The sequence below is a fragment of the Homo sapiens genome, chromosome 16 (assembly GCF_000001405.40).
Source record: "Homo sapiens chromosome 16, GRCh38.p14 Primary Assembly".
In the NCBI taxonomy this organism is placed as follows: domain Eukaryota; kingdom Metazoa; phylum Chordata; class Mammalia; order Primates; family Hominidae; genus Homo; species Homo sapiens.
The window spans coordinates 11339687-11366105 of record NC_000016.10 but is presented as its reverse complement, the minus strand read 5'-3'; the positions used below and the strand labels follow the sequence as shown (position 1 = coordinate 11366105).

Below are 26419 nucleotides of genomic sequence, written 5' to 3'. Positions count from 1 at the left end.
CTGATACAGGCCACAACATGAATGGATATTGAAAACACCATGCTGAGCCAGGCATGGTGGCTCACACCTGTAATCCCAGCACTTTGGAAGGCTGAGGCGGGTGGATCACTGCAGGCCAGGAGTTCAAGACCAGCCTGGCCAACATGGTGAAACCCCATTTCTACTAAAAATACAAAAATCAGCTGGGCATGGTGGCAGGTACTTGTAATCCTAGCTACTTGGGAGACTGAGGCAGAAGAATCACTTGAACCAGGGCGGCAGAGGTTGCAGTGAGCCGAGATCGTGCCTCTGCCCTCCAGCATGGGCGAAAGAGTGAGACTCTGTCTCAAAACAACAACAAAAATTTTAAAAACCCACCATGCTGAGTGCCAGAAGCCAGACACGAAATGCTACATATTGTATGATTACATTGGAAGGAAATGTCCAAAACAGACAAATTCATATAGACAGAAAGTACATTCATGATTGCAAGAGCTGAGGGGGATGGGAGGATTGTGGGATTGACTGTTAATGGGTATGGCATTTCTTTTAGGGTGATGAAGTGTTCTCGAATTAGTAGTGGTGATGGTTGTACCACTGTGTATACACTAAACACCAGAGAAAGGCCAGGCACGGTAGTTCATGCCTGTAATCCCAGCACTTTGGGAGGCCGAGGCAGGCAGATCACCTGAAGTCAGGAGTTCAAGACCAGCCTGCCCAACATGGTGAAACCTCATCTCTACAAAAAATACAAAACTTAGCCAGGCATGATGCCGGGTGCCTATAACCCCAGCTACTCGGGAGCCTGAGGCGGAAAAATGGCTTGAATCCAGGAGGCGCAGGTTGCAGTGAGCCGAGATCGTGCCACTGTACTCCAGTCTGGGTGACAGAGCGAGACTCCATCTCAAAAACAAACAAAAAACATCAGAGAATGGTACACTTTAAAGTGCTGCATTTTGTGGTATGTGAATTACTTATCAATTCCTTAAGACTAGTAGGAGAAGGAAGGCATTGCAAATGATATTTTGGTTTTGTAATTAAACAAGAGATTTCTCCCTCTCCCCCCAAAAAAGTTCTCTTTCAGTTTCTGCAAACTTCCTCCTTCCCTCCCCTACCCATCCACCCAGAGGAATTTTATCTGTTCCTGCCTAAACAGATTAGAGGGCTTTGTCTTTTGAGGCCTGGTAGGTAAATTAGAAAGGGGTCCCAAGTAAAGAGAGAGAGAGAGAGGCATCCCAGAGCCCTTTTCCATCTGAGCCTCCCACGGCCCATGACTCACTTTACCCAGTAACATGCTTCCCTTCCAGTTTACCATCTGGAAGAAGGAATAAACTTATTTTTCTTATTCACCAATAATTTATGTAAACCAAACATTGCAAACAAGGGTTTCCTTAGCAACCTCTATCTCATTCTCTTCAGATACCAATTGCTCTCCAGTAAAGGGAGTGTCCTGTTCCACACAACTTAAATTAACTTGGAAATCTCACTTAAAACAGAAAAGTTAAGGTCTTCTTAAGGTTTACCAGGGGCAATGCATTTGCAGGAATGCACGGGGCTGAAGGTCAAAGGCAAAGAAAACAAGGCACAAATTCTTTCACCCGGATTTGGTTTGTCCTTGTACACCCATGGTTGACAAGGTCACCTGGCAATGACAAATCTGCTTTTGAAGTTTTGTTTTTTTTTCTGGAGGCAGAGTCTTGTTCTGTCGCTGAGGCTGGAGTGCAGTGGCGCGATCTCGGCTCACTGCAATCTCTGTCTCGTGGGTTCAAGCGATTCTCCTGCCTCAGCCTCTGAGTAGCTGGGATTACAGGCGCCCACCACCATGCCTGGCTAATTTTTGATTTTTAGTATAGACAGGGTTTCACCATGTTGGCCAGGATGGTCTAAAACTCCTGATTCTCAAGTGATCCACCCGCCTTGTCCTCCCAAAGTGCTGGGATTATAGGCATGAGCCACCGTGCCCGGCCAGGTCAGTTTTCTCTAACAGAAGTAACAAAACAGATGTAATCCAAAATCACAGATATATCAAAATTTTCAAAATGGTGTTGGAGGCCAGGTGCAGTGGCTCATGACTGTAATCCCAACACCTTGGGACGCCGAGACAGGAGGATCACTTGAGACCAAGAATTCAAGACCAGCCTGGTCAACACACCGAGACCTCGTATCTATAAAAAAAGGTTTTTTTTTTATTGAGATGGAGTCTCGCTCTGTTGCCCAGGCTGGAGTGCAGTGGCGCCATCTCGGCTCACTGCAAGCTCCGCCTCCTGGGTTCATGCCATTTTCCTGCCTCAGCCTCCCGAATAGCTGGGACTACAGGCCCCACCACACGCCCGGCTAATTTTTTGTATTTTTAGTATTCACCGTGTTAACCAGGATGGTCTCGGTCTCCTGACCTCATAATCTGCCCGCCTCAGCCTCCCAAAGTGCTGGGATTACAGGCGTGAGCCACCACGCCCGGCCAAAAGTGTTTAATGGTATTAGAAAATGCTGACTTGGGTAGTGACAGTTTCAATGCATCATTGCCTGGCCTTCTGGGTTTCACCTTGAACCTTGTGACAGGTGATCAAGTCATGTGTCCAAGCTCAGGGACTTCCTGTTGTACAGAGATGATGCTGCCTGGAGCACCCTACTCCAATCCCCCTCCCTTCAACTTCTCACAGTGTATCATATTCAGCCCACACCAGGGCAAGCCCCGCTCATGTCATCAGCCCTGCCCTGGCCAACAGCCTAGAAAAGATGCAGGTCAACTCCCACAAAGGGCAGGGTGACTCAGTTCATTCACATGCTACAAGCCAGCTGCCTGCCTTGTACTCTCCCCAGACCTGGGCTGTGTGCAAACTGCACAGACAGGGCCCTGTGCTCAGAAGGGTCCCCAATGCTCACTCGAATGCTCTATTACCATCTTGAATCTTAATTTCTGAAAATTATTGATTTTCATTTTGTGCTGATCCCTGCAAATTAAGTAGCCATTCCCACTTCAGAGCCACTTAACGAAGGTTCTTGGGTGGCTGGAATAGGCTGGGGTTTCCATAAAATAAGGGACTGGCTGGCCGGGCGCAGTGGCTCACGCCTGTAATCCCAGCATTTTGGGAGGCCAAGGTGGGTGGATCACGAGGTCAAGAGATTGAGATCATCCTGGCTAACACAGTGAAACCTCGTCTCCACTAAAAATACAAGAAGTTAGCCAGGAATGGTGGCACACGCCTGTGGTCCCAGCTACTTGGGAGGCTGAGGCAGGAGAATCGCTTGAACCTGGGAGGCAGAGGTTGCAGTGAGCCGAGACTGCGCCACTGCACTCCAGCCTGGGCAACAGAACGAGACTCCATCTCAAAAAAAAAAAAAAAAAAAAAAGGCGGGGGAGGTGGTGCTGGCCAGGCACAGAGCCCCTGCAACAGAAGACCCTTCCCTTGCTCTAAAGTAACCCTCTCAGAGCCATTTCTTAATGGAGCCTGCAACAGCCTGGTGACCTGCCCTCAACTGTTTTAATCATTGGCTGTCCCCTTCTTCAAGAGCAGGTGCATTTCACATAAGTGCATAATTAATACTAACAAGAGGGGCCGCCGCCCGTGTGCTGGGGCCCTGTCATGTGTATTCTGTGCTCAGGGTCCGTGGGAGGCACAGGACCCAGATCTATCCTTACAGTATGACTATAGATCACTCTAGAGTGGCCTGTCCTGAGCAGGACAAGACCCGGCAACCCTTTTGGTCAATGCTGGAGCATCTCCCAGGGATGAGCAATGGTGGCGTTTGCAGGATGGCTGGCAGCACTCGGCAGTGGGCCAGCTGTGCCTCAGTGATTCTGGTGGTTCAAACCCACAACCCAGCCAACTCACCCTAGGCTCCAACCAGCCTGGCTAACTGGGGACAGCCATTCCCAGCTGCACTCAGGCATCTGAAAGACCCTTCCTTTCCTGCGAAGCCTCTTTCAGGGTTTCAGGAAGGAAGTGGAGACAGTAAGGGGAAACCACAAACCCATATAACTCTAATAGTATCACCTCTCGGTCCATGGGGGTGGGGGGAGGCTGCTTCCCGTGTTGAATTTCATCCTGAAGCCACCCTGGTGGGGGTAGGGGCAATGCCATTCTCTCCATCTCACAAACAACATCGCATTGGCCCCGAGAGATGAACCCGGGGACTGAGTGTGGCTAGCAAAGCCAGGATCGTGACCGAGCAGGTCTCTCCAACTTAGGAGCTTTAAGGGCAGGCTGTTGGTTTCTGCAGATACTGGCCTAGCATAGCCCATGTGATCAGCCAGGGCTGAGGTCCCTCTGCTGACAGGTTTCCCTCCTAAGGACACTGGTGGGGCTGTGGCCCCGTCAGATCATCTGTCCCTGGCAACACGCTTTTCCAGGGAACTCCAATGAGGAAGAGAAAGTGCGGACCATCGACTTCCGTGTCTCTGAAAACAACTTTGTAAAAGTGTGTAAGGACCCAACACTCTGCTTATAATCAAACGGCTCTGGACCCCTCCGCTCTGAGTGCTTCAACATTGGGCATTTCCTTTTCCTGTTTGGGTCTCAAATTCTGCCTCTGGGATCTTGTTTTGAAGGCTAAGTTTCCAGCCAGAACAAGTGCCCACACTCTACTATCTCAAACTCATCCCCTTGCCTTAGCCAGGAAGGCTGATGACAGACAGGGTCTTTGCTCCCCTAGACACAGCTGGCCATGACTACAGGACCCTCAGACGCAGGCAGAGCCCTTTGTCCTTTTTTGTCACTGTGCAGACCACCTTGGGGGCTGATTATGCTCCTTAAACCTCCTGGGAACGCTTATGGCCCCCAGCACTGCAAAAAGGATTAAGTCAACTGAGAAGAGACATGTTTTTCCAATTAGTTAAAAATCACCCATGTTGGAATTTTTGCAAAACTGGCTGGTTGCTTTCCCATTACCCAAGATTCCTCATTCTTTCTTTCTGTATAATTTCATAAGGTTTTCAAGTAAATTTGATACTAAAGGCCCATGACCATGAAATAAACAGGACACTCACAGCGAAACGCTAAAGCCAAAATCTCATCTTCCATGCGCCATGCAATGAGAAAGGAGATGGACAGTAACTTCCACCTACCAAACTTCCCTACCCCAGGTTTCTGAAGACACATCAACACGTGCAACGACATTTGTGTTTGGATATGCATTTTACTACATACGTACATCTTTAAAAAGATTTTTCCCACTGACATTTATTTCTCATGCCAAGTCGGGGCCAGCCGCCAAACTGGGGAGACCAAGATCCTGGAGTCAATGCGCTCATTCTCCTTAAAGGACCGTGACACCAGCCAGAGAGGCGGAGAATGTGGTAAAGGCAGGGAAAACACGATTCTTCCACCTAGGAAGACAGAAGAGCTCTCCCAATGGGCAGGGCAGCTCTGGGAGCAAGTCACTAATAATAGCAGGAATATTACAGCCAGTGCATCAACACATGGGATGAATTTAACAAGGCTGGTTTTGTTTTTTGTTTTTTTTTTTTGTATGATGGAGTCCTGCTTTGTCACCCAGGCTGCAGTGCAATGGTGTGATCTTGGCTCACTGCAAGCTCCGCCTCCCGGGTTCAAGTGATTCCCCTGCCTCAGGCTCCCGAGTAGTAGGGACTACAAGGCGGCAAACAAGGCTGTTCTTACTTCAATTTTGCAAAGTGAGGAAATGGAAGCCCAAAAAGGCTATGTGTCCCAAATCATTTATTGAGTGGTAGTAAAGCTGGGATTGGAACCATGCTGTCTGGATCTGAAGCCCTATTGTGCTGTTCCATCAGGCAGGTCCTCGTGGACAGAATTCTAAGATACCCCTTCCCCTCCACAGACACGATTCCAACCCGTTGGATACACCTTCCCCCAGTCATTCAATCGAACACGAATCTAGGTGTTGCTGTGCAGTGATTCTGGAGAGGTAAAGTCCCAAGTCACCTGACCTTAAGGTAGGGGGCCTGAGCCAATCACATGAGCCCTCTCTAAACCTGGGCCCAGGAAATCAGAGGCTGGAGAGCAGGAGGCAGATTCAAGGCTCGTTCCTGAAGATGGAGGGGACCTCTAGGAGCCTCCAGTTTACAGCCGGCAAGGAAATGGGACCTCAGCCCTACAATTGCAAGGAACTGAATTCTGCCAACAGCCTGATGAGCCTGGATGCCCATTCGGGATTCTTCCCAGAGCCTCCTGAAGAGAGCTCAGCTGGCTGACACCTTGATTTTGGCCTGAAGAGGTCCTGAGCAGAGAACCTAACAACACCCTACCAGACCCCGACCCACAGAAACTGTGAGATATTAATACATTTGTTTTTTTAAGCTGCTAAGTTTGTGGCAATTCATGACGTGGCATTACAGGCTCTGACCAGAGGTCTCAAGCACCAACCCCGGCTGTCATACCTATGGAAGACACCATGTCCGCAAATGCCTCTCCAGGCCTTCAAGAGACCTCATGTGGTCACATGAGACTCCCAAAGTCCCCTTAGGGCACTGTCCCTACTCTCTGCAGGAGCCACGTGAGGGCGGTGAGGACTGGCTGTGGAATTTGAGGCTTCTAAGTCCTGGCCTCCCAGGGCCTCAGGCATCTTACCCATGTGTGCTATTAACGTGATGTATTACTTGATGTTAACCTTGGCCAGCTGGCTGAGGCAGTTTGTCAGGTTTCACCACCGTAAAGTTACTCTTTCATCCCCCTTTCCATTCTGGAAGGAAGTCACTGTGCACAGCCCACACTGGTGGAATGGGAGGCACCCTACACTTTTATTTACTAAGTTTGGCCACTCTGTCTATCACACCAGCACACTCCAAGTACTCCACAGCTCCATGAGGCTGGTGACAATCACATTGGACAGTGCAGCTCTATTTTAGAACATCAGGAAAAAGTACCCAAACATCAGTCACTCAGGTACCACTGTACTATTGTTTACTTAGTAGTTTTCTGTAAAAGGGCTCACTTTTTTTTTTTTCCCCGAGATGGAGTCTCGTTCTGTCACCCAGGCTGGAGTGCAGTGGCGCCATCTCAGCTCACTGCAAGCTCCGCCTCCTGGGTTCAAGCGACTCTCCTGCCTCAGCCTCCCAAGTAGCTGGGACTACAGGCACCCACCGCCACACCCAGCTTATTTTTGTATTGTTAGTGGAGACAGGGTTTTACCATGTTGGCCAGGCTGGTCTGGAACTCCTGACCTCAGGTGATCTGCCCGCTTTGGCCTCCCACAGTGCTGGGATTACAGGCGTGAGCCACTGCATCCAGCCACCGGGCTTTTTAAAAAGGGAACTTGATATCACTACCTTGCAACGGCCCAGCATCAAGATGGCCCTGGACGTCCAAGAGGTGGAGCAGCCCTGTTCCTCCACATGGGCTTTTTCCATCCTTCCTTTCTTCTCCTCCTCAGAAGCTTGGGGCATGCATGGACCCCTTGGTCCTGGTACTCAGGGCTCCAGGGTCCCCACCAGAGGAAGCCTTCACCAGTTCACAACCAGTGCCACGGGCAGCTCTGACCCCTCCTGTGGCCCAGCTATCTCTGGGCCAGGAAGCTGTAGATCTGTGGCTGCCAAGCCTGGTTGATGACGAGACCCACCGGAGAGCTTTCTAAAAGCTTAGACTTCCTGAGCCCCCAGCACGTGGATCCTAATTAAAGATATGGGTAGGGACCAGGTTAAAAACAGCCCAGGTGGAGCTGATAATCAACTACTTTTGACAACACTGAGTCCTACATGCAGGATGACCAAGCTCAGCTGTGCTCTGGGAAAACCTTCACCTGAGGTAATGCACAGCTGTCTGATGGAAGACCCCAGGGCAGGTGCTGACTCTTTTTTCTCTTGAGACGGAGTCTCAGTGGCACTCTGTCACCCAGGCTGGAGTGCAGTGGAACGATCTCGGCTCACCGCAACCTCCGCCTCCTGGGTTCAAGTGATTCTCCTGCCTCAGCCTCCCAAGTAGCTGGGACCACAGGCGTGCACCACCATGCCCGGCTAATTTTTCTATTTTTGGTAGAGACAGGGTTTTGCCATGTTGGCCAGGCTGGTCACAAATTCCTGGCTTCAGGTGATCCACCCGCCTCGGCCACCCAAAGTGCTGGGACTACGGCTGTGAGCCACCACGCCCAGACTGACTCACTTTCTAAAATGAGCAGTACCCGCTGGAGGAAAGCGTGTAGCTTGGCATCTTCCCAAGCTCACAGGATGTGGAATTCGGTGCTGACAGGCCCTTTGGAGAAACTCCTTTCCCTGTCCTGTGTGAGCAGGAGGAAGGGAGGCTAGGCAGTTTGGTATTTCTGGGTGTACAGCCTCATTGTTTCTTCCTTTTCTTTCTTGCCCATATTACATCTCAGGTCCCTTGGATCAGGGACAGAACTAGATTGTGCTCCTCTAGGTGGCCACCCACTGCACTTTAGGGCCTGGTAACTGGTTTAGTGAGTTCCAGGTTCACAGAGGGAGACGAACTGCTCAGGATGGGTCATACCCAAAGCCTCCGCAGCACCAGATTGAGGTGATTAGGTGACGAGATTGAGAGCAGATTTGGGACTCTTCAGTTGATGTTATAATGGGATGAGACCTTGGGGCAGGGTGAATGTATTTTGTATTTGGTATGAACACACATCTTTGGGGTCTAGTAGGCAGAATGTCCCTCCCCACACAACGATGTCCACGCCCTAATCCCCAGAACCTCTGAATATCATACACCTTACGTAGCAAAAGGGACTTTGCAGATGGGATTAGTCAGGGCATTGGGATGGGGAGATTAGCTTCGATACCCAGGTGAGCCCAATCTAACCGCACAAGTTCTTAAAAGCACAGGACTTCCTCGGGCTTAAAACAGGAACGATAAGGAGGAATGGGAGGTCCAAGAAGATACCATGCACACAGGGGGCAGCCACGTGTCTCCTTCACCTCGTGTATCCAGAGTCTGGAACCCAGCAGGTGCTTGGCGACAGAAAGGCCACTAAAGTGAACTTTGAAGCACCAGATTCCAGTTAACAGTCATGCAGACGAATTATTTAACCTCTCTGACCCCACGTCATCCCTTCTCTATGGATATCAGAAGGGCAGTGAAAATAACCCACCCAAGGTCATCCACTGAATGAACAGTGGGGCTGGCCCCACTGCAAGCCCCTCAGAACCCATCTGGTTGCCAAATCCAGCACTCTCCCCACCCCCACCTGGGCTTGGCCATAATGGGCAGAACTCCTGGGTAGACAGGGGTGAAGTTTCTCATGGCCCCATTTTGTTCCTTTGCTCCATTCTGTGCCCTTGTTTTCTGGTGACGGGTTGTCATCCCATTTTCTGTGCATAGACCAGCAGGGGGGGCCAGCGCCCGTGTAGAGACCATCAGCTCCCAGAGCTGCCCTGGGGAAGAGCTGCCCTAGGGAAGGGCCTGGTCCTGGCCACCCACAACAACAGTGCCCTTAACGACAAGGGGCACCTATTGGTTCACCACCTGGCTCTTCGGCTGCCAGGTAGATGCCCCTGGAAAAAGGACTTCATCTCCGTGGCTGCGGTTTTCACAGCTGTGAAAGGGGATGGGAAACAGACCTCCCAGGCGTACTGGGACAGTAAAATGAAGCGACTCATGAGACGGCTTCCAGCACAGGCCCTGGCACTTAACTCTTAGCTGAATTTGCATTCTTTTATTTTTATTTTATTTTATTTTATTGAGACAGAGTTTTTCTCTGTCACCCAGCCTGGAGTGCAGTGGCGCGATCTCTACTCACTGCAACCTCCATCTCCCAGGTTCAAGCGATTCTCCTGCCTCGGCCTCCCAAGTAGCTGGGACCACAGACACACATCACCACACCCGGCTAATTTTTTGTATTTTTAGTAGAGATGGGGTTTCACCATGTTGGCCAGGCTGGTCTTGAACTCCTGACCCCAGGTGATCTGCCCGCCTCAACCTCCCAAAGTGCTGGGATTTCAGGCATGAACCAACACGCCCAGCTGAACTTGCTTTCTTTATCAAGAGACGTTCAGTCAATCTCAAAGGACTCTCATTTCAGATTCTGCCCAAACCACATGAATCGTTTTTTGGACTCGGCTGTCTCGCTCCTTTTCCTCCACCCTTTTATGTCTTTACCAAATCTTTCCTCTGTGCTTAAAGAGCACTCCCCAACAGTCTAGCCAGCACCCTCAGGCCTGCTATAAACTACACAGGGGGCCCAATTCAAAAGGCGCTACTAAGCAGGGGGCTCCTTTCTTCTGAAAACTGCTGCGGGCCAAGTGTAAATTTAAGACACTGTGCCTTTGCTTGTATATTTCCTCTGTCTTCTAGCCTAAAACCCAGCCAGTCCTAACATTGACCGACTGCCCATGTATGTTACCTAAGACCCCATGCTGGGCAGGGATACTGAGATAAGTAGGACACAATCACGACGTCACTGGAAGCGCCTCCAACAGGGACAGAGATAGCAACAGATGATTTCAGAACAACGTATGTGCCTGTCTACAAAGATCCACTCTCAGGAGTGGATCTTGGGATTCCATTCCCAAGAACTTACCCGGTACCACCCTTTGAAGGATGAATTGTCTCGGCTTCACAGACTTCCAAGGCCAAAGTCAGACAGGAACGGGCAGGACCAGGACTGGGCCCCACGTTTGACTAACATCACTGTCTCCCTTATCACAAGGAGGAAGAGGCCCTTTGAAGATGTCCTTTCGCACGGGCTCCGAAATATCTGCTAAATGTAGGTCATTATGACTGAAAATGCATTTTTCCCCTTGTCCTTGAAGCAGGCAGCTGCTCTGTAAGTTTCGGCTGTAGCCTGATGTTTAGCAACAGCAGCCCTAGCCCATCTGCTGGCCAGCAGATCGCAGGGTTGTCACCCTTGGAACTGGAAGGCATTCTACACACACTGTGTCTTCCAGGTGCTTTTTCTCCTCAACCATGAAACCACACACCCACAGGCCAGGCAACAAAGCGCTCAGTTACTTCACATGGTCATTCCTTCCTCCTCCTGCTTCACCTGATGCAGAAGACTTTGTCAGTAAAACTTGAGCATTACAAGAATATGCAACAGAAAGAATTAGAGAACTTGGCAATCCAAAAGCTGCTAAATGAGGGTTTTCTCCATTTGGGGGGTAATGTAAAGCAGTTCCAAGAAAAGTGAAGTCACAGCCACGGTTGCTTATTTTCGGTTTTAGAAAAAAGCCAATGTCAAAGGGGAAGCAGCTCTGCCCCAGCACAGCCTCCACTGTCTGGCGGGGGGCGCTTGCTGATAAGCCATCTTGGATTTGGCACCAGAAACCCAAAACCTCTGACATATGTTTTCATCTGGTGATGTCAGGGAGGAAACTCAAGCCGAAACAGTGAAAGTTGTTAACATTCAAAGAAACCACACAGCTCAGCTAACATGGTGAGGCAACACCCTTCCAGCACCAAGCCACCAGCATTTCTGAGGGGACTGTCAGGAAAAACACACAGTGCCCTCCTTTTCCTACCTCCACCCCGCCAACAGACTCCTGAGATGCATTATTGCTCAGGCCACCATGTCAGCCCAACTAGCATTTTTCAATGGACACTACTTACCAGAAGTTGGGTGAGGACAAATGGGGCAGGATACGGTACAGGTGGTTTTCGGCAGCTTGGGTCTTTTTTCTAGCACACAAGCAGGTTTCGCCACAGTAGGGCAGACTTCAGGTTAACATCTGGGGAGTCTACCACACATCCAGCTCAGGGGCTACTACTGGGTGCCCCATAATAATTTTGTGAACAAGGTTTGCTTTTTTTGTTTTTTGTTTTTGAGACAGAGTCTGGCTCTGTCGTCCAGAATGGAGTGCAGTGGCATGATCTTGGCTCACTGAAACCTCCGCCTCCCAGGTTCCAGAGATTCTCATGCTTCGGCCTCCAGAGTAGCTGGGATTACAGGTGCGTGCCACCATGCCTGGCTAATTTTTTTGTGTTTTTAGTAGAGACGGGGGACTATGTTGCCCAAGCTGGTCTTGAACACCTGGCCTCCAGTGATCAGCCTGCCTCGACCTCTCAAAGTGTTTCAATTACAGGCGTGAGCCACTGCACCCAGCCATTGTGACTAAGTTTTAACCTAAGAATTCTGTAACAGATCTCACTGTCTGCACCAAAATTAAATTTAAATGCAATTAAAAGCAACTGATTGAACGACCCAGCCAGGGAGAGCACCTAGGGAGACATGATGACGAAATGGAATGTGGTGTCCCGGATGGGACCCTGGAACAGGAAAGAACATTAGGAAAAACCCAGAGAAATCTGAATGAAGTACAGACTTGGGTTAATAACATCTCAATATTGGTTCATGAATTTTAACAAATGCACTATACTAACATGTTAATAATAGGGGAAGCTGGGTACAGGTATATGGGAACTCTTTGTACTATCTTTGCAATTTCTCTCTCTCTCTCTCTCGTGTGTGTGTGTGTGTATGTGTGTGTGTAGACAAGCAAGAACATACTGATCCTCCCAGCAATAATGATTTGGTGCCTACCAAGTGTCACATACCATGTAAAAGTGATCTACATCTTCATTTATTCCTCACACCAGTGCTATGAGCTGGGCATAATCTGCATTTTACAGATAAAGAAACTGAACAATGGAGAGGTTACGTACCTTGCTCATAGTCACACGGCAAGGTTACTTGCAAATGAAGGGCTCAAATTCAGGTTGACAGGACTGCAAAGTTCCTGTTAAAGCTCAGCAATATTGCCCGAAAAATCCCAAACTGTGAACATAAAACAGTTCAAAACAAGCTTCTTGTGGGCAACAAAAATGATGCATACTTTCCAATCTGCCCGGCTTTAAAAAGAAAATAGTTTAAAAGCACAGCACACCCGAGACACTGACAACACTCAGTGCTGGAGACGATGTGGAACAGTGACTCCCCTTCATTGCTGGTGAGAATGCAAAAGCAGACTGGCAGTTTCTACAAGGCTAACCATAGGTCTACCATATGGCCCAGCAATTGCACTCCTAGGCATTTACCCCAATGAGCTGAAAACTTACACCCACTCAAAACCTGGGCATGAATGTTTACAGCAGCTCTATTCATAGTTATCAGAGACTGGAGTCAAGATGTCCTTCAATAGGTGGATTAGATAAAACTATGGTACATCCATACAATGGAACATTATTCAGTGATAAAAAGAAATGAGCTGGCTGGGCGTGGTGGCTCATACCTGTAATCCCAGCACTTTGGGAGGCCAAGGTGGGAGGATTGCTTGAGCCGAGGAATTTGTGCCTGTAGTACCAGCTACTCAGGAGGATGACATGGGAGGATTGCTTGAGTTTGGGAGGTTGAGGCTGCAGTAAGCCACGTTCACGCCACTGTACGCCAGCCTGGGTGACAGGGCAAGGCCCCATCTTAAACAAACAAACAAAAATAAAAAACTCAAAATAAATAAATAAATAAATTAGCTGGGTGTGGTGGCACACATCTGTAATCCCAGCTACTCAGGAGGCTGAGGCGGGAGAATCGCTTGAACCCGGGAGGCAGAGGTTGCAGTGAGCAGAGATCACACCACTGCACTCCAGCCTGGGTGACAGGGTTAGACTCTGTCTCAAAAAAAAAAAAAAAAAAAAAAACAGTACCTAAGGAATTCTTCATGTTTCTATCTTGTAATAAGCACGGGCATTTATTGAAAAAAAAAAAAAAAAAAAAAAGCTAACAAGCTGCAAAAAGACCTGGAGGAGTCCAGACACAATGGCTCACACCTGTAATCCCAGCACTTTGGGAGGCCAAGATGGGAAGATTGCTTGAGCCCAGGAGTTTGAGACCAGCCTGGGCAACATGGCAAAACCTTGTCTCTACAAAAAATACAAAAAAATTAACCAGGCAAGGTGATGCGCACCTGTAGTCCTGCTACCTGAGAGGCTGAGATGGGAGGATCCTGAGCCTGAGAGGTTGAGGCTGTGGTGAGCTGTGATTGTGCCCTTGCACTCCAGCCTGGGCAAGACTGAGATTGTCTTAAAAAAGAAAAAAAAAAAAAGATATGGAGGAATCTTATATGCATAGTAAATGAAAGAAGCCAGTCTGAAAAAATTACTTACTGTATGATCCAACTATATGATATTCTGGAAAAGGCAAAACTGAAAAGAAAGATCAGTGACTGTCAGGGTTGGTGGGGAGGGGTGAATAAGGGGAACCCAGAGGATTTTTAGGGCAGTGAAGCTATTCTGGACGATACTGTAGTGGTGGATACATGTTATTATGCATTTGGCAAAATCCACAGAATGTATAAGAGAAGGAATAAAGCCTAATGTAAACTAAACTTTAGTTAATAAGAATGTAATGTTGGTTTATCAAATGTACCATCCTAATAAAAGATGTTCATAGCTGGAAAAACTGGGAGTGGGGTGTGTGGAGTATATGCGAACGCTGTAGTTTCTCCTCTATTTTCCTGAACACCTAAAACTGTTTTCTTAAGTCCATTAAAAAAAAAAACTCATACAGCCTATTAAAAATTTATTAGAGGTAGAATATCAATAATCCAGGTGAAAGTCTACAACCATGTCAGAACACAATCTAACTCCTTTGATATTTACAATCTCAAAAAATTCAGGCATGGGTACTAAGCAGACAGCAGAAACCCAACATTCAAAACCATCACAGCAAAAAGTCATTCCATACAAAGACAAAAGAACTCTACACCAGGAGGCTCACCATGTCTCGCCGAAAGTTATGAAGTGGAAGTTTAGCTAATGCCTGAAAGGCGTCCTTTATCTTGATGTTTTTCATTTCAACAAGAAATTCTGAAAACGTCTCAACATCTCTGAGTAATGGAAGAAGGCATCACCTTCTCTAGCTAGGAAAAGGGATAGAGCTGCGTCTAAATGTTTGAGTGGTGTCCGAAGCAGAAAGGGAGCTGTTGTCTTTCAGGGGCCGCCATGCCTGCCGTTAGGAAATGCCATTTGACTCGCAAACTGGTTATGGTAGTTGCTGATGAAGAAGATGAGGAGCCAGGATGTCATTCCTTTTTTACACAGTCTGTCTTCCTGCCCATAACCACACTTTAATCACCATGGGCAACGACCGTACTTAAATTTTGCATTGTAAAACAGGGACGCAGCAGTAATGGAAAAAGTATCATCACTCATAAAATTTGGAAAATGCAACATGAGACTTCTGTGTCTGAGAGAGAGAGAGAGAATTAACACACACAAACCAGGAAGGAAAATGAAACACAAGCATCTGCTTTTCATCAGCAAACACAGGCAAAGCAAGGGGCAGCAGAGGCTGTGTCACTGAAGTATCCGAGGATTTAAACATTCCTACATCCGGACTCCTTGGTCAACCAAAGCAAGGCTCTCTGAGAAGCATTTGAAAAATACGCATTGAAAAGTGTCCATGAAATCCACATCATTATAAGCTTCTAAATAGTTTCGGGATTTTGGTTGTTTTTAACGACAGTTCCAACATACTCTAAGGAATATTCCTGTGTAAATCTTCTACCTCCAGTTCCCACATACTTTCATGGATGGGATTATCAGAAAGGTCTGTCATCTTCACAGCCTGCAGGCAGGGCTCAGGGCTGCAGGCCTGAACCACTCCCATCACCATCACATACTTTCCTAGAAAAAGAAGAAAAGCCCATAGTAATGTTCTTTTTTTTTTTCTTCTTTTGAGACAGAGTCTTGCTATGTCGCCCAGGCTGGAGTGCAGTGGCACAATCTCGGCTCATTGCAGCCTCCACCTCCTGAGTTTAAGTGATTCTTGTGCCTCAGCCTTCTGAGTAGCTGGGATTACAGGTGCCTGCCACTATGCCTGGCTAATTTTTGTATGTTTAGTAGAGATAGGGTTTCACATGTTGGCCAGGCTGGTCTTGAACTCCTGACCTCAGGTGATCCACCCACCTTGGTATCCCAAAGTGCTGGGATTATAGGCATGAGCCACTGTACCCAGCCATCTTCTTTGGTTTCTGATTTTACTAGGCCAAACAAAACTGTCATGTAAAATGTAACCACGCCCAAGGAATGGAGGAGACGCTCCCATCAGAGCGAGTTATAATTAGGCGGCTCTGAGGTAGGGGCAGAAAACCTCAGCTTTCCTCTAATCCTGTTCCTTGCTCAATGCTACAGAGTATGTGACTGGTTTCTGTGCACAGGACACATCCTCTTTCTGCAGACACCCTCTGACAGTTACTAAGCAATCCAATTTTCCCTCCACATTGCCGAAAAGGCTGGGCAGGCAGCCCCCCGCCCCATTGTTCCAACTGCTGGGACCTATCCCTGCCACCTCCTCCAGCACATACAAGCAAATCCACACAAGGGCCGGCTGCCACCGGCATGATCTAATGACGTATTAACTGTGACTCTCTTCCCATTCCCTTGGGGAAGTGACTCTCCTTGAAAGCAAAACTTGGCCAGTCTCAACCACATAAAACCCGATTGTGTAAAAGAAAACTCCAAATGCTGCAGGAAGGACAGGCCCGGTGCCAGCCCTGCTGCCTGCCCCGTGAGGCTTTCATTGCACTGCACGTGGGGCCTGGGGCTTTGACTGAAGCCCCAGGCAAGCTGACCCCTGATCCTGCTGTTCAACCCCAGGCAGGATGTGCTCAAGTATCTCAGAACTCCAACCCCACATTCCACCTGGGTCCCTCCGTGACAGAGGCTAGTTCTGAAAATGCACTTGCCATCCCCTCTGAAGGGGCCTAAAGTGCTGGTAGGGTTGGAACACACAGAAGTAGAATGACTGAAGGCCCACGAAGAGAAAAACAAGCCCAAGGGCATTCCAACCGGGAGAGGGGAACAGGAGCTCTACTGAGAAGGCACACACAGCCAGCCGGATGAACTCGAAGGCACGCGATGGGACAAATTGACCTTGTAGGTTCTACCCACACCCTCTCCCACTCCAAAGCAGCTCTCCGCTGTCTCTCCCTCTCCTTCCTGCATCCCCACCCCGCGGTTGCCATGACCATTCCAATGGCTCCAGCCCATCTCCTGCCAGCTTCCTCCTCTTCGAAACCATCCCCACCCCACTGCTGCAGTCAACATTGTCAAATCCACCTCCTGCCTCCAGAACTCAGTTGATCCAAGCGCGATCTAGGTAAGCATGGTTTCTCTGATTCTCCTGCAGACAGAGAGCAGCTTGAGGGCAGGAAGAGCTTCTCCTTCAACTCTGCCTCTTCAGCACCTTAGGTTTATGGAAACAAACTCCTGGATGTTCCAGAGGAAGAGGCGGTGGAGGAACAGCACTACAGCAGCAGTGCAGTGAGCAGAGTTCAAGGCCATCTTGAAGCAGGCAGGTCCTTCCAGACAGCCAATGAGGCTCATCAGGATAGAGCCCTCCTACCTTCCACCACTGCCCCAGGCTCCCCAAAGGCACGCGGCTCTATCCCCTTCAAGCCTTTGCACAGGCTGCTCCATGGAGCTGCACAATCTCCTGCCACTGCACACAGACAGAGGGTGCCCAAGTGTCCCAGTTTTAACACTGAAAGTCCCACGTCCCAGGACCCTCTCAGTCCCAGGCAACCCAGGAGGGTTGGTCCTTACAGATAACTCCAATGCATCCTTCAGGGCTGCCTCTTCCAGGAAGCCTTCCCTGAGCCCTCAAACCTAGATCAGCTGTCCCTCCTCTGCGCCACCTCACTCTTGCCTGCAATGTTACTTTGTGTTTTAGTGGCCCGCTTACCTCCCTGCCTCCCTGATGGCAGTGACTCAATTTTGTCAAGCTGGACTCAGTATTAATTAACAAGAAGAAATGACATGGCCCCTGCCAGCTGGCATTCAGGCCAGTGGGTATGTCAGACAGGTTCACCAATGCCCATGGGTTCAAACACTTATTTACTAGATGCCAGGCTTATGCCAGGGCTGAGACCAGATAGGAGACTGCCCCAGCCTGCCTGCAAGGTGCTTTGCCTGCAAACCAACACACCAAGCAGCATGGGTTACTTGCTGGGCCAAGGCTAAGGCCAAGGGTTGGCAAACTTTTTCTGTAAAGGGCGAGACAAATATTTTGGGCTTTTCCCGCCATAGGGTCTCTGTCCCAGATAAAATTCTAGCTGGGGTGGGACAGCGGCCCGAGACATTCTGTAAATTACCAATGTATTCCAATAAAACTTAACTTATGAACACTGATGCTTGAATTTCATATACTTTTCACATATCACGATTTTCTTTTCAACCATTTAAAAATGTGAAATCCTGCCAGGTGCAATGACTCACACCTGCAGTCCCAGCACTTTGGGAGGCCAAGGTGGCCAGGAGCTCCAGACCAACCAGTCTAGCCAACATGTTGAAACCCCATCTCTACTAGAACTACAAAAATTAGCCGGGTGTGGTGGTGCACACCTGTAATCCCAGCTACTCGGGAGGCTGAGGCATGAGAATCGCTTGAACCCAGGAGGTGGAGGTTGCAGCAAGCCATGACTGCGTCACTGTACTCCAGCCTGAGAGACAGAGCGAGATTCTGTCTCAAAAATAATAATAGTAATACATAAAAATTTTAAAAGCATTTTTAGTTCGCAGGACACATGAAAAGAGGAGGCCTGTAGTTTGCTGACCCTGTCCTAGACCAACGCTGCGGCTGAGGGCAGGCAGACAGAGGGAAGGCTGATGGGTAAGGCAGTGGGAAGACGGAACAGGAGCATGTGGCAGTAAACGAGTCCTGATATTTTGCATCCTCACTGTGAGCCAGGTGCAGTACTAAGGCAGTTGTTTACTTATTGAATCCACACAACACGCAGGAATGATTAGCTCCTTTTTACAAAATAGTACAAGTCCAGAAAAGTTAACAAGAGTGCTCCAGGCAGCTCAGTTGGGAAGGGGTGGAACCAGAAATTCGACCTAAGCCTTTCCGAGTCCACAGCAGCTCAGGCCAGACCACAGCCCTATCTGCCTCTAGTTAGACTCCAAGACTGAGCAGGAAGGGCCCTTAGGAATGAAGTGATCTTGGCCTGATTTCCCAGGAGAGGGAGCTGAGGTGAGGGAAGGCCCATGGAGCCTCAGAGCTCCTCAGCTTAGACCTCACATCCTCTAGAAGCCTCCCCGGGCCACTCAGCACCTTGCACATCCTCATGGCTCCCCAAAGATCAGCGATCCTCTGCGACACTTGCTCACTGCCTGTCTCCCAGCAGACTCTATCTAGGTCTCGGCTGCAGCCCAACACTGCACATGAGGGGCTGATGTACAACACGTGCTCAACTGACATCCCAGGGAACAAGTGAGATGGATGCCCATTGCCTATCACTCAAGACTATTGGTTCTTGGAGCACTTATGTGTCAGGAACTGGGCCAGATGCTGAGGATACAGTTGTCAGGACCACACAGCTCTGGCCCTCCAGTAGCTTGGGCTGGCCCAGTGGTTCTCAAAGTATGGCCCCCAAACCAGGCGTGGTGGTACAGGCCTGTAGTCCCAGCTACCCAAGGAGGCTGACGCAGGAGGATTGCTTGAGCTCAGGGCCAGCCTGGGCAACACGGTGAGTCCCCTATCTCAAATAAATAAAACATTTAAAAAGTCGAAAGTATGGTCCCCAGACCAGCAGCATCAGCATCACCTGGGAGCTGGTTAGAAATGCAAATTTCCAGCCCCACCTGGACCTCCTGACTCACAAACCCTGAGGGTGGAGCCCCAGCCATCCCAGCTTTACCAAGCCCTCCAGGAGAGACTGATGCTGGCTCAAGTTTGAGCATCAGTGGTTTAAGAGAGGAAGCAGGCAGGGCGCAGCGGCTCATGTCTGTAATCCCAGCACTTTGGGAGGCCGAGATGAGCAGATCACTTGAGGCCAGGAGTTCGAGACCAGCCTGGCCAACATGGCAAAACCCAGTCTCTGCTAAAAAATACAAAAATTAGCCGGGTGTGGTGGCACATGCCTGTAATCCCAGCTACTCGGGAGGCTGAAGCATGAGAATCGCTTGAATTCGGGAGGTGGAGGCTGCAGTAAGCTGAGGTCGCGCCACTGCACCCCATCCTGGGCGACAGAGTGAGACTCCGTCTCAAAAAAAAAAAAAAAAAAAAAAGAGAGGAGGCAAACATGAGTGAGCTACAGCCCAAGACAGTTCAATTAAGGAGAAGTACAGGAGGGTCTCCCGTTCCTAGGGGCTAGGGAGGACTTCCCTGAGAAAGGCACATTTGAGCTGAGACGTTAAGGATGAGCAGAAGTTTCCCAGGACAGTATTTCCCAAAACAAGGATATCAACTGGGAGAGGGGGCTTGTGACAAACGAAGGTGCCGGAGTCCCTCCCCAGAAGATTCCCACTAGGGGTGGGAGAGTCCCAGGAATCTGTATTTGTAAAAGGGACGGCAGGTGATGCTTATCATCAGATCAACTTCACCAAGGAGGGACCGGAGCAAGGGTACCCAAGCGGGGACCCGCAGGGGCAGAGGCCCGGAGGAGGGCCAGACCCGCCCCGCCCCCGTTCGAGTGTCAACAACAAGATCGAATCTGGCCTCGGCAACTTCTCGGCGGGCAGCAGGGAAGAGGGCGCCCGGTAAGGCCCGGGCATTACCTGGGACTAGACAGGGCCGCCCGCGCGGCACCCGCTCCAGGCCGCGGACCGAGAAGTCCCCGCTCGGGTCCCTCAGCCGAGCCTCGCCGCGGTCCGCCATCACTACCCTGCCCTGCATCCACACGGCCGCCAGGTCCAGCGGCCCGCGGCCCGCCGCCGCCCGTGACAGCCGCCACGCGCCCGGGCCGCCCTCCGCGTCGCGCCGCAGCTGCTCCGCCAGCACCTTGAGTGGCGGCGACCTCGGAAGCCGCACCCCCGCGGGGCCGCCTGAGAACGAGTCCGCAGCCGCCGCCATTCCGCCTCGCCGCACCCTTCCGCCCCGCCTCCGCTTTCCCGCCAACTTTGAGAAGCAGCGGGGCCCGGCCCTCAGCCACCAATCAGGAGCGCGCTGGCAGAGCCGGCCAATGGTCGACGTCAGAAGGCGGGACCGCCGGGCGAAGAGGCCCTCTCTAGCAGCCAGGAGTGCGCATGCGTAGATAAAAGTAAATAAACGCCCTCAAGTTAGGAATGAACGGAGGAAATGGGTTAAACGAGAATAAATAATTGAAGGCAGAGAGGTAAAGAACTTCCTCTTTCAACGCATCTCAAAATTTGGCGTGGATGCAGATCACCTACAGAGTATGATTATTCATCTTTACATTGCCTTGTTTTGAGGTTAGTAAATACTGAAACGAATTAAGAGTCCGTGTTTATTGGGAGTGAGCAAGAATCCAGTCAGGAGATAAGGCTGGGGAGGGAGACGGGGAGAGCTGGCAAACTTGCCTTTTCTTTTATTATTATTTTCAGTTATATTTTAATAGCATCAAATAATTTTAAGGTTAATAAAATATATTGCTATTTTTCAGACAAGAAATGCACATTTATTGTAAAAAAAATAGGGGAAAAATGTAGAACAAGAAAATAATTGTAAAAGCCGCTTATAGATACCCACTGTTAATTTTGGGGTATATTAGCCTTTAGGCTTTAAAATATGTGTGTGTATTTTTTTTGAGACAGGGTCTCACTCTGTTGCCCAGGATGGAGTGCAGTGGCACAGTGACGGCTCACTACAACGTTCACCTCCCGGGCATAGGTGATTCTCCTACCTCAGCCTCCCAAGTATCTCGGACTACAGGCGTGCACCACCACGTCCAGCTAATTTTTGTATTTTTTGTAGAGACAGGGTCTTACCATGTTGCCCAAGGTGGTCTGGAACTCCTGGGATCACGCAATCCTGCCTCCTTGGCCTCCCAAAGTGCTGGGATTACAGGCGTGAGCCACCATGCCTGGCCTATTACTGATATACAAATAGTGTTTTGTATATTGTTTTCACTTAATAATGAACATCTTTCTGTATCAGCAAATATCCATCTGCTTCCTCTTGAATGACTGCATAATACTCGATTTGTCTTATCACATATTAAACCAATATCCTACAGTTGGACATTAAGGCTATTTCCAATTTTTCACTTTATAAATATATCCACTGTGGACCTACTTAAAAGATAAATCTTTTTTATTTATTTATTTATTTATTTTTTTGAGACGGAGTCTCACTCTGTCACCCAGGCTGGAGTGCAGTGGCGCCATCTGGGCTCACTACAAGCTCCGCCTCCCAGGTTCCCGCCATTCTCCTGCCTCAGCCTCCCGAGTAGCTGAGACTACAGGTGCCTGCCACCACGCCCAGCTAATTTTTTGTACTTTGTTTTAGTAGAGACGAGGTTTCACCGTGTTAGCCAGGATGGTCTCGATCTCCTGACCTCGTGATCCACCCGTAAAAGCTAAATCTTTTTGTGCATCCTTCAAATAAAATTCCCAGGAATCTCTCCCTAAAAATTGGATGTCCCCAGTCAGCAAAGTCCACAGATCCTAAATCAGGCAATCCTTAAAGTCAAGGTCAGTTCTTAAGAGAAACTTTGAGTTCCCAGGGCCTCCTGCAGTACCAGGCATTCAGAGAGTATTCAGCAAGAGCTTGATTTTTTTTTTTTTTTTTTTTTGAGACGGAGTCTCGCTGTGTCACCCAGGCAGGAGTGCAGTTGTGCCATCTCAGCTCACTGCAACCTCCGCCTCCCAGGTTCAAGTGATTCTCCTGCCTCAGCCTCCTGAGTAGCTGGGACTACAGGTACACGCCACCCGCCTGGCTAATTTTTGTATTTTTTAGTAGAGACGGGGTTTCGTCATACTGGCCAGGCTAGTCTCAAACTCCTGACCTCGTGATCTGCCCGCTCAGCCTCCCAAAGTGCTGGGATTACAGGCGTCAGCCACCGCACCCGGCCAAGAGCTTCATTTTTATAAAATTGAGCCAGGTCCTATTGTAAGAACTTTGTAGGAAGTATCCCATGTACCCCCACAGACCCTGAAAAGACTGTTCCACACAGGTGAGGAAACTGAGGCTTAAGGAAGCTAGAGGGCTGGCCCATAGACTCTCAGTAGCCTCTATGAGGTTTTGGCCTCTACACCTAATATGGTTTGGCTGTGTCCCCACCCAAATCTCATGTTGAATTGTACTTCCCATAATCCCCACATATCGTGGGAAGGACCCCGTGGTAGGTAATTGAATCATGGGGGCGGATACTCCCATGCTGTTCTCGTGATAGTGAGTGAGTTCTCACAAGATCTGATGGTTTTATAAGGTGCTTTTCCCCCTTTGCTCGGCACTACTTCTTCCTGCTGCCACATAAAGAAGGACGTTTGCTTCCCTTTCTGCCATGATTGTAAGTTTCCTGAGGCCTCCCAGCCCTGCGGAACTGGAGTTAATTAAACCTCTTTCCTTTATAAATTACCCAGTCTTGGACAGTTCTTTATAGCAGTGTGAGAACAGACTAATACAACACCTCAACCCTGACCTATGAAGTAACCAGGCTCCTAGGCTGAGAAAGGAGCAGGAACATTAACCAAGAGAGAATCCAACCCGTTCATGCCTGGTGGGTCCTCACTGACCTTCCCCCGAGGTACCTTAAGGACAGAGAAGTGACGGAGAAGGGAGTTAGCGTGAAGGGAGAAGCCCCCAGGCTTCTTGTATGAGCCTGGGAATCCCCCATCATTCCCTTGGCCTCCAGATTCCCTGCACCTGCTCCCACAAGCCCAACACCATGTTGCTGGCAGAGTGATCTTTTCAAAACACAAGTCTTAGCATGTCAGCACCGGGTTTATAACACCTTGATGGTGTAATCCACACATCTGGCATGTGAGCATTCCAGGCAGAGGGAACTGCACATGGAGGGGCCAGACAGGGGAGACAAAGCAAGAAGCATGTAGCAAACTGCCAGTAGTTAAGGATGGCTGGGACACAGAGTAGAAATGGAGGACTGGGGATAGATGAGTCTGGCTCTACATAACCTCATGTCTTATCCCCATTTTACAGATGATGAAACTGAGGTTCAAGCCAATGACAAGCCTGAAGCCACATGGCTAGTGAGTGGCAGAGTCAGAACTCAAACCCAAATCCACCTGACCCCAAACTTCATGTATCTTGAACTACAGGCTCCATCTCACTGTTCACACTCTCACCCACCTCCACCCATCAAAGGTGCCTCTAGACCTTTGCTTGTGTTGTTTGTTCTCTGCCTGACATGCCTCCCCCTCAGTCGCTCTCAGTTGAAACCTGGCTTAGTCATCAAGTGCCTGCTCAGCAGCAAGACCTCTTCTCTTCACAGAGCCTTTGTTGAGCCCCACCACTGGAATTAACCTCTTCCTTCCAGACCAGTTTGGTGGTGCCCCTAATCCACAGTTTCCCAACCTCAGCCCTACTGACACTGGGGCTGGATAATCTTTGTCGTGGGGGCTGTCGTGTGCACTGCAGGATATGGAGCAGTACCCCTGCTTTCCACCCACGAGATGCCATGGCACCCTCCTCAAGTTGCAACAACCAAAATATGTCTTCAGACATTGCCACTGTCCCCTAGGGTACTAAATCACCTCTATGGAGAACCACTGTCCTAAGCTACAATACTCACTGCCCTCTGTTTTGAGCCATAAATAGTTGTGTCTGTGTCTATCTTACCAGTAAAGCCTGGGTTCTCAAACTAAGTTGTCAGCAGCAGACAGACAGGTAACCCTGGTGTAGCAGGGGCAAACTGGCCTTCTGATGTCCCGGCAACAGGGGTCCATCACACTCAGCCGGTGGTTGTCGTGCAGGACTGTGGGCCCATTGTTGCTAGATCTGATTTTTCAAGACATTTTCTTTTTTTCGTTTGTTTTTGTTTTGTTTTAGATGGAGTCTAACTCTGTTGCCCAGGCTGTAGTGCAATGGCACGATCTCAACTCACCACAACTTCCACCTCCCAGGTTTAAGTGATTCTCCTGCCTCAGCCTTACAAGTAGCTGGGATTACAGGTGCCCGCCACCACGCCCGGCCAATTTTGTGTATTTTTAGTAGAGATGGGGTTTCACCATGTTGGCCAGGCTAGTCTCGAACTCCCTACCTCAGATGATCCACCTGCCTTGGCCTCCCAAAGTGCTGGGATTACGGGCGTGAGCCACCGCGCCCAGCTCAAGACATTTTCATGTATAATTTCCATGTTTAAAAAAAAAATGCTGGCAAACAATTCAATTCTGAAACAAAGGAACAAAAACAAACCATGTGCCCCAGAAAGTCATCCATGGACTGACTCTGGCCCGTGGGCTTCCAATCTGCAAACTCTCTCTAGAACGTGACCTCTGCTTCAGGCACCAAGGCAGCCTGCATGTTCACTAACGTGCAGGTCCTTAAATCTCCTGCAAAATAGCCAAGGGGCTGTAGTGTTCCACCAGCTCCAAGAGTTGCAAAATCAGCATTTTAAATTACAGTCATGAGCAGACAAGTGGGGTCTGTTGACACATGTTGGGTAAGCCTCCCCTCTAGGGAGGATTATCCCCCCTCCCCCACACCACAATCCATCACCCTCACACTCAGGCCTGAAGCAACCCCCTGTGCCAGCCTCCCCGAGCTCCAGCTTCCCAGTGAGATCAAAGATCCTTGGAAGGCGGTTTCCTGCCACCTGCACCAGTGAGGACAAAGGTAAGGTGAGAGGAATTGTAGGCCTTGGCTTTATCCTCAATCTGCTCGTTCACCAGTTCCCAGGCCAATCAGGCCAAAAATGCTTCTGGTTTCCAGAAACAACCCTACTACACTAAGAAAAGGGGTTGTTCTGGGTGGGGCGTGGTGGCTCACGCCTGTAATCCCAGCACTTTAGGAGGCCAAGGTGGGTGGATCATCTGAGGCCAGAAGTTCGAGACCAGGCTGGCCAACATGGTGAAACCCTGTCTCCGGTAAAAATATAAAGATTAGCTGGGCATGATGGCACGTGCCTGTAATTCCAGCTACTTGGGAGGCTGAGGCAGGAGAATCACTTGAACCCAAGAGGCAGAGGTTGCAGTGAGCTGAGATCATGCCACTGCACTCCAGCCTGGGCGACAAGAATGAAACTCGGTCTTGAAGGAAAAAATAAAATAAAATAAAATAAAATGGGTTGTTCTGGAAGGGTATCCATACAGTGACATCTTCAAAATAGCAAAAGCTGTTATTAGCTGAGCCCTTACTATGTGCCAAGCACCATGCCAGTCACTTCATGTGCAGAGACTCAGTTATTCCTCATGACAACCCTAAGAAGTAGATACTTTTCTTAAGCCCAATTTAGAGATGAGGACATTGAGGCTTGGACAGGTGATGTGACCTACCCCAGACCACACAGCTAGGAGAAGGTAGAGCCAGGAACCCATCCCCACCCTGGGAACCCTTATAAAGGGTTCCTCTTAGGTGTCTCAGTAATCAGGATGGTGGTTCTTAACATAACGTCTTACCCACTATCCTGGATTGGCACCGTGGAAGAATACTCTGGGGAATTTTTTTTTTGGAAATACAGGTTTTATGAAAACACACACATACACGCACACAAATTTTGAACTGTATTTAATGAAATGCCTGCCAAAGTATGCAAAGGGGCAGTGGATGGATGTCTCTTACTTACTTTGGATGCAACTTACTTTGAAATGCAACAAGAAATAAGGTGGATGGCTGGGCGTGGTGGCTCACGCCTGTAATCCCAGCACTTTGGGAGGCCAAGGCAGGTGGATCACAAGGTCAGGAGATTGAGACCATCCTGGCTAACACGGTGAAACCC

General features: G+C 49.3%; 1 protein-coding gene and 2 long non-coding RNA genes across 6 annotated transcripts in view, besides 5 other annotated features; 1 reads left to right on the top strand and 2 right to left on the bottom strand.

Moving 5' to 3' along the window:
* LOC105371082 (uncharacterized) overlaps positions 1–26419 on the bottom strand; it is a 146190-nt gene that overhangs the window by 29685 nt on the left and 90086 nt on the right. The window contains exon 1 of one of the 3 annotated variants that reach the window (XR_933072.3): positions 10426–13662. The exons of the other annotated variants lie outside the window; for them this stretch is intronic. This is a non-coding gene — a long non-coding RNA (uncharacterized LOC105371082). Of the gene's footprint in view, positions 1–10425; positions 13663–26419 lie in introns of those variants that run through there. 3 annotated transcript variants of the gene reach the window in all.
* Positions 3710–3769: an enhancer, noted in NCBI's record as "active region_10439". NCBI's record gives its function as "activates an Ori minimal core promoter by ATAC-STARR-seq in GM12878 lymphoblastoid cells {active_cell/tissue: GM12878}" and the evidence as "EXISTENCE:reporter gene assay evidence [ECO:0000049][PMID:35858748]".
* Positions 10676–10825: an enhancer, noted in NCBI's record as "active region_10438". NCBI's record gives its function as "activates an Ori minimal core promoter by ATAC-STARR-seq in GM12878 lymphoblastoid cells {active_cell/tissue: GM12878}" and the evidence as "EXISTENCE:reporter gene assay evidence [ECO:0000049][PMID:35858748]".
* Positions 11003–11855: an enhancer, noted in NCBI's record as "H3K27ac hESC enhancer chr16:11448108-11448960 (GRCh37/hg19 assembly coordinates)". NCBI's record gives its function as "activates a minimal SCP1, AML or CMV promoter by ChIP-STARR-seq in naive H9 embryonic stem cells {active_cell/tissue: H9 hESC(naive)}" and the evidence as "EXISTENCE:reporter gene assay evidence [ECO:0000049][PMID:30033119]".
* Positions 14346–20647, bottom strand: RMI2 (RecQ mediated genome instability 2). Of its 2 annotated transcripts, none has more exons than NR_130754.2 (2): positions 20563–20647; positions 14346–15464 (listed from the first exon to the last, which is right to left on the bottom strand). NR_130754.2 is itself a non-coding variant. In NM_152308.3 (2 exons), exons 1-2 carry the CDS (start codon positions 20632–20634, stop codon positions 15316–15318), a joined length of 444 nt encoding a protein of 147 aa, NP_689521.1. In that variant the 5' UTR covers positions 20635–20647; the 3' UTR covers positions 14346–15315. The 2 variants fall into 2 exon arrangements, 1 of the variants encoding a protein (NP_689521.1); NM_152308.3 differs by having other exon boundaries at positions 20340–20647.
* Positions 20319–20398: a silencer, noted in NCBI's record as "silent region_7203". NCBI's record gives its function as "represses an Ori minimal core promoter by ATAC-STARR-seq in GM12878 lymphoblastoid cells {active_cell/tissue: GM12878}" and the evidence as "EXISTENCE:reporter gene assay evidence [ECO:0000049][PMID:35858748]".
* Positions 20419–20578: a silencer, noted in NCBI's record as "silent region_7202". NCBI's record gives its function as "represses an Ori minimal core promoter by ATAC-STARR-seq in GM12878 lymphoblastoid cells {active_cell/tissue: GM12878}" and the evidence as "EXISTENCE:reporter gene assay evidence [ECO:0000049][PMID:35858748]".
* LOC105371083 (uncharacterized) lies at positions 20894–24297 on the top strand. Its single transcript, NR_135174.1, has 2 exons — positions 20894–20993; positions 23683–24297. It is a non-coding gene; the product is annotated as an uncharacterized LOC105371083 (long non-coding RNA).